The following is a 6,424-nucleotide window of genomic DNA, read 5'->3' on the forward strand; positions in this document are numbered from 1 at the left end:
TGAAACAGCCTAAACCTGTTCCTGCTGGGAGGATGCTACCTGAAACTCGTGCCCAGCTGGCGGTTCTCTAGGAGGCTCCATCCAAGGGATTTGAATTCCCACAAGCTCTCCTCCATTTAACAAGATTGAGAGTGAAAGTGAAAATGAGCCCCAAGCCCAGCCTTCGCGTGACAGCTGTGGTCAAAACTGCCGCTGTGACTGTCAGCTCCCCGGGCTGTGCGCAGAGCCTGCCGGGTGGTCCCAAGGGTCAATCATGGGGCTGGAGCTTGGGGAGGAAGGGGATCTCCACGCCCTCCCCCGAAGCCAGCTTGGGTGCAGGATGGATTCTGCACACTCCTTTCAAATTCCCCACTCTCCAGGAACCCTCCTGTCCCCCTGCCCTCTCTGCTCACATCATCTGCTGCCCTAGACTTTGGAGGCTTGAATTTCTGCACGAGGTGACTGCCAACAAATGACAAGAGCAGCCATTTAGTGAGCACGTAATTCATTTAATGGTGCTGAACACAGAGCAAGTGCTGCATGAGTATTTTGGTTAGGGTTCACTTGTACCTTTTAGGTTTAGCTCTTATGCAAAGCCTGTGGTTCAGATCCATGTGTCACCCTCAGGTCACTACGTCCCACTGCAGCAGGTATGGGGAGAATCATAACCATAACACCTTCCCTTGCAGTGAATTTCTCTCTCATATTTGTCTTTAGTTTGAACCACATAATAAATCTATAAGCGTATTATAGTTCCTATTCTATAGATGAGGAGACTGAGGCACACTAAGGGAAAAAGTGACAAGGAAGAGACTAGAGGCTACATCTGATTTTACACCAAGTATTCATCCCACACAATGAATAGCAACCACCGGATGTTTTTCAAGATTTGAGTGAAGGCCAGAATCAAACTGAAGACTATGTGTGTGTGTGTATGTGTGTTCATATTCAAAAACACTACATACACGCTACATGTATTATATATATTATATAATATACACACATAATAACATATAACATATAAGTATATAATAGGTAATTATATATTTTTATATTAATAATATAATATATATTATATATATAATATACACACATATACATACTTTCTATAAATCTACTCCAAAAGCTTCAAGGTCTCCCAAATATCACATGACCCGTAGCTAAGGCAATCCTGAAACCTGGCTGCTTGGGCTAGCCTGGGGACACACGAGGAGTCAGGAACTGGGCTGTTCCTTGGCACCCAGGGCGCTCGACCTCCTTCCTTGCAATGCTCTCTCCTTCTGCCAAAACTTATCTTTCTGATCTGCCTTTCCCCCCAGGATCCAGGGTGGTCCTAGGAAACCCAAGGAAACGCTTCCAGCTGGAGTGCTCGGAGGTGTAGGACATTGTTCTCTTCCCTTCCCGGGTCCTGTTGTTTTAGAACCTAATCAATAAAAATTAAGCTGGTGCCTGTGGGTCCTTGTCCTGTCTCCATCCAGGCCACTTTCATAGGTTGCCTCATTTTACTTTTTCAGTACTAGGGAGAAGAGTGGTCTTCCCATGGCGCGGATGAGGAGACTAAGGCCTGGAATGTATGTGGTACAGAGGTTGAGACCACGTCAGCCTGCGCCGTCTTCATCAGGCCCTCTGACACAACATTAAGGGCATGGCAAGGAGTCAGTTGCTCCGTGACCCTAAACCTCATCCCTCTGGAGGCTTCATCTCTGCTCTGGCTAAGAAATGCTCTGACCTTGGTAAGGAAGGGGGGATGGAATCCCAGCCACCTTGCCCTTGACCCCTATGAGTGGCCAAGTCGTAGCCAGGGTGGGCCTTTGGCCATGGGGGCAGTGCTCTCAAGCCTCTGGCTGCCCTGGGGCCTGGTGTCTAGGGCCTCACAGCTGCTAGGAGTTTGAGCCTTTGCTCAGACCCACACCATCAGCTAAGGAAAGCACCCACAAAGGCCAAGCTTCCAGTTTACCCCCAGCCACCACCACCACCGGCTGCGTCATCTCAGACCTTTTGATGCTGATTTCAAGCTCCCGGCTTTCGGGTGCCAGGGCCTTGGGGCTTCCAAGGCTGGGCTGGGGCTGCTGGAGGTGACTCAAGAGGTGTGCTCAGGGCTGCAGGCCCCAGCTGACTCCACAAGACAGGGCTCTTCTCTTTGTATGGAGTAGGGGTGTGACTGCCCCTACATAACCCTGTAGGAGGTGACAACCAGGGATTTGAACCTGTCCAAAGCTGGCTCTGCTCCCACGCCAGCAGACACTCTGTGCCCATTGTATAGAGGAGGAGACTGAGGCTGCATCTGAAATGGAGCGCCTCTTGCTGATCCAAATCTTGGTGAATCTCTCCCGAAGAGTCTAAGACCCTAACGAAAAGTCTTGGTAATTTATTTACTTATTGATGTACATTGAGGATGCCACTCCAAAAAGAGAGCAAGAATGATGGTGAGAGGAAGAGAGGGAAGAAGGAAAAACACAGGAAAAACCTCCCTGTAGAAGGTTTTTTGAATGTGGAAAGTGCCCTGTTGCAATGATGAGCATCCATTCTGCACAGGACATGCCCACTACCTGCGGCAGTGCCCACACCACCAGCTAAGAAAAGCACCCACAAAAGTCAAGCTTCCAGTTTACTTCTTTGGGCCCCTGAGCTATTGAGTCTCCAGGCCCATGGGTGACCTTCGTCTCCACCTCCTGAGTGAAGGGCCCTTCTGCTGCCTCCTGGCCCTGCCAGAGGCTGGCCCCTCCCCGCATCTGTGTGGCTCAGACACTCACAGCTCAGGACACAGGATTCCAGGCCCCTGACCCATATTCTGCCCAGGCACTACCAATGCCAGGATCTGCCATCTGTGCCAGTGACCAAAGGTGGGGGTGACAGGGGTGGACGGGGCTGGTCAGTCCACCTCTGAGCCTCCCCAGCACCCCTGCCCTAGCACAGCCCGCCTAGCCCTGTTCTGTCCTTTGGGCAGACAAAGACGGCGGACCCTCACCTTGGTTCCTTAGTGGCAGAAGACACAGGGGGTTCTGGAGGCTTTAACTCCAGGCAGCAGAGCGGGAAGGCTCAGGCAGGGCAGGGGGAATCCTCCATAGCCCCTCCTCACCTGCAGGGCTGGCTGGAAATCTTTTAAGTTAGATCTCACCCAAATCGGCGAGGTTCTTTTTCCTTTTTTATCCTCTCTCCTCTGAGTTCCCCTGACCCCGCCTCCATTTAAATCTTTCTCTTCTCTTTTCTCTGCTTTCCTCTCTCCTTTTTTACTCCTCTATGTCCCATTCTTTTTAAAAAACAGATAGTTTAGGAATTTCAATTTACCTTTATTTCAGCACCACCTCCCCAAAAACATTCCTCCCAACCACAAAGCTCTTAATAACTTCATTTATATTCCTGGGCGTTAATTATTCCAAACAATGGTGCTAAGGAAAGAGAACCACAGACACAAGCCACTCCTGTGACAGCTGGCTCCTGTGGGCAGCCTGATCCTCTGCAGCGCAGAAATGGAAGGACACTGGGCAGGCCCAGAGATATTTTTGTGCCTCCTTTGGGAAGGCTCTTTGGATCTAGCCTGTCCACAATATACGGGCACCTTATGATGCCTTGAGTGTGCCAGAGACATTTCCCCTGGGTGCACGATGGTCCTGTTTACCACTGCCACAGTACCTTGAGAGGCCACAGGACGCTGTGGCTTTGAATGTGGACCTTGCAGACCAAAAGGTCAGATTCCTGACTCCAACACTTGCAGCCGTCCAGCCTTAAGCAAGACTTTTAAGCTCTCATAACCTGTTTCCAGACCTGAAAATGGGAGTAACGATCACCTGTAACTCATGGTAGCCTTGACCGAAGTCAGTGAGAGAAATCTGCACACAAGCTTGGGCCAGTGCTCAACAAAGGCTTGCTGGTATGGCCTGTGTTGTTGTTCACTGTGAGGTCACCGTGCGTGGGTTAGACAGTGTCCCCCACCCCCGCCACCACAAGGCACTCATGACCCGGCCTGTTTGTGCAAGAACAGATGATGCAAACCAGCATGGCACCCAGCGGAGCTGCTGCCAGCTTCTTGGGGACGCTGTGCAGCACATGGGCCTGCCACCAGCTGTCAGGACCCGTCCAACTGTTTTGGAAGTGCCTCGAGCATCTGCCACTGTCTGCCTCATGGTGCTTCTGCCCAGGCAGAGGTCAGGGCTGTGGCGGGGGTGCTGGCCCCAGCTGGCTCTGCCTGCGTCCCTCTGAGCCCCCTCAAGCCCTCGCCTCACGAAACAAGCTTATCTTCAGAAGAGCATTCCTGTCCTGTGCAGGGGCTCAGCTTCTGCCCTGCTTCAGGCCTTCCTCATTTACCTGCCCTCCCTAGGAGTCACCAGCCTCCTTGCCTCCTCATTCCAGTGCATACCCCTGGCTTCCCGAAGAGCCACCGAAGCCAAATCTCACATCCTCCAAGGGGAATGGGCCACTGAAATGAAAATGATTCTCCACCTAGAGGCACCAGAAACCAAGTCATGTTTCTGGGCCTCCACCTCTGGGGCCTGAGATGTGAACACACGGGTGGGAGTGTAGGTGCCTGGCTGTGTCCCTTCATATCCCAGATGCTCAATGCATGTGGCTATGTGCATGCCGTCCTCTGCTCAAAAACTCTCAGAAAGTGTTCCAACTTCTTGCTTGGCCTGGAAGGATGTGCCTCTCCCTCTGGCCTCCCCTTCTAGCCTCACCCCCATTTTTCACATGCAGAACCCTTTGCCAGAGCCACATTTCACTTTCCATCATCACCCCAGGTCCCTTGACTTCCCTGCCTTTGCCCAAGCTGCTCCTCCACCTGGAGGTCTCTGTTTCCACCCTGAGGCATCCCACCCATCCTTTCAAAGGCCATGGCCTCCTTAAATGTGTCATGCATATGCGTGTGCACACACATGCATGGTATTCTTGCATCCCTGCATTCCACAGCTTTGTTGGATCTCACATAAATAACATTCCTCCATTTCCTCTCCTAATCCCCAAACAGTTGAAAGCAGAGCACATGGCACCTTGGCTGCTATGGTCTCCCACAATACCGTGCATGCCTAGGCACTCTGCAACAGCTACATTAAATTAACTCCCACTCATGAAAACCTCTATCTGTGCGCCTGGCCTGAAAGCATTTCTGAAAGTCACTTGTCTGACACAGATACCGCCCAAGACCTACAGACCCAACAATAGCATCATTGATAAGTCCTTTTGCATTTCCATTTTTAGAAGTGCACAGCAGAGTGATATTCTGAGCCAGAGTCCTCCAGAAGAATGGGTAAGTACATGCAAATTGCTGAGTCTCTGTTCATTGCATCCAAAACGAAAGTCACCAGCGTGCTGTATAACTCAAGAAAATACGAGAGAGAGGGAAAAGCAACATCACAGTTTGACTACAAGCGGTTTCCAGTAAGTACTGCAGCCGAAAATCCCCACCAGCCAAAGAATCTTTTGCAAGATCTGTATAAGAAAGTTGAAAGCATGCATTACCTGTTAGGCTCTGAAACAAGGGTACAATTCAGGGGTAATACAAAGGATTTTCTTGAAAGTGTCTTAATTCAGAACATGCTCCCCGAGTTTTCCTTCTGCCCTGGCCCCAAGCTTCTGGCTGCTCTGCCAGGCAGTTCTGAAACGCTGTCCTTTGAAGCAGGGAGTTTATTTTGGGGCCACCGCATGACCAACGTTGACAAGCCAAACTATAAGATGTTATACATCTCAGATTTCCTGTTTGGAGGTTGCACTGAGGAAGCTGCAATCCTGCCTTCCGTTCCTCCGGGTGCATCGAATACAGACTCTCACTTCAGAGAGGATCCCGGAGCTTTGGCCCTCACGTGATGTCATCATTTGTGATCCTTGACATGGAGGCCATATATGGGTATGTTTCTGGAACTACCCAGGGGAGAGCCAGACAGGAGAGAGATGCAGTGGGTCAGAGACAGAGGCAGGGAACGAGGACGAGGAGACGCATAGTTGGGAGACAAAGAGTGAGGAGCAAGGGAGGAGGAAGAAAGGGGAAGAGGAGAAGTAAAGGCAACAAAGGAGGGAAGGCAAGACAGCAGGAAGGAAGAGGATGGAGTGAAAGAGAAGGGAAGAAGGGGAGAGAGGAGATGAAGGAGTTGACGTAAAAGGGCTTTGGAGAAATCAAGGTTTGGTGCTGAGCTTGTGGCAGCATTTGGGGATAGCAGGTGTCTGGCTGCTGGATACTGTGGGGTGGGGCTGGGGATACAAAGGGCCAGGGTACAAATGAGCCAACAAACAAACACAGAGGCATGCGGGCAAGCCCTGGGCAGAGATATACAACAGAAGAGAGCCCTTCCTCCTGGTCTAGGGAAGAACGTCCCATTTCTGGAATAGGTCAAATGTCAAAGACAACACATACACAGCCACATGCACTGAGCATCCGGGATGTGACAGGACATGGCCAGGCACCTACTCTCCCACCCGTGTGTTCACATCTCATGCCTCAGAGTTAGGGGTCCAG

General features: G+C 50.9%; 1 protein-coding gene across 5 annotated transcripts in view, besides 1 other annotated feature; it reads right to left on the bottom strand.

Annotated features, from left to right (window-relative positions):
• The window catches only part of ASB2 (ankyrin repeat and SOCS box containing 2), a 42,405-nt gene extending 36,835 nt beyond the window's left edge, over nucleotides 1–5,570 (bottom strand). For all 5 annotated transcript variants that reach the window (XM_047431473.1, XM_017021369.3, XM_011536834.4 and 2 more), the window contains exon 1: nucleotides 5,434–5,570. The gene's annotated coding sequence lies outside the window, so the exon portion shown is untranslated. The remainder of the gene's footprint in view (nucleotides 1–5,433) is intronic.
• Nucleotides 4,051–4,622: an enhancer, noted in NCBI's record as "H3K27ac-H3K4me1 hESC enhancer chr14:94441397-94441968 (GRCh37/hg19 assembly coordinates)". NCBI's record gives its function as "activates a minimal SCP1, AML or CMV promoter by ChIP-STARR-seq in naive H9 embryonic stem cells {active_cell/tissue: H9 hESC(naive)}" and the evidence as "EXISTENCE:reporter gene assay evidence [ECO:0000049][PMID:30033119]".
• Nucleotides 5,571–6,424: the final 854 nt, after the last annotated feature.

Source organism: Homo sapiens, chromosome 14 (genome assembly GCF_000001405.40).
Source record: "Homo sapiens chromosome 14, GRCh38.p14 Primary Assembly".
In the NCBI taxonomy this organism is placed as follows: domain Eukaryota; kingdom Metazoa; phylum Chordata; class Mammalia; order Primates; family Hominidae; genus Homo; species Homo sapiens.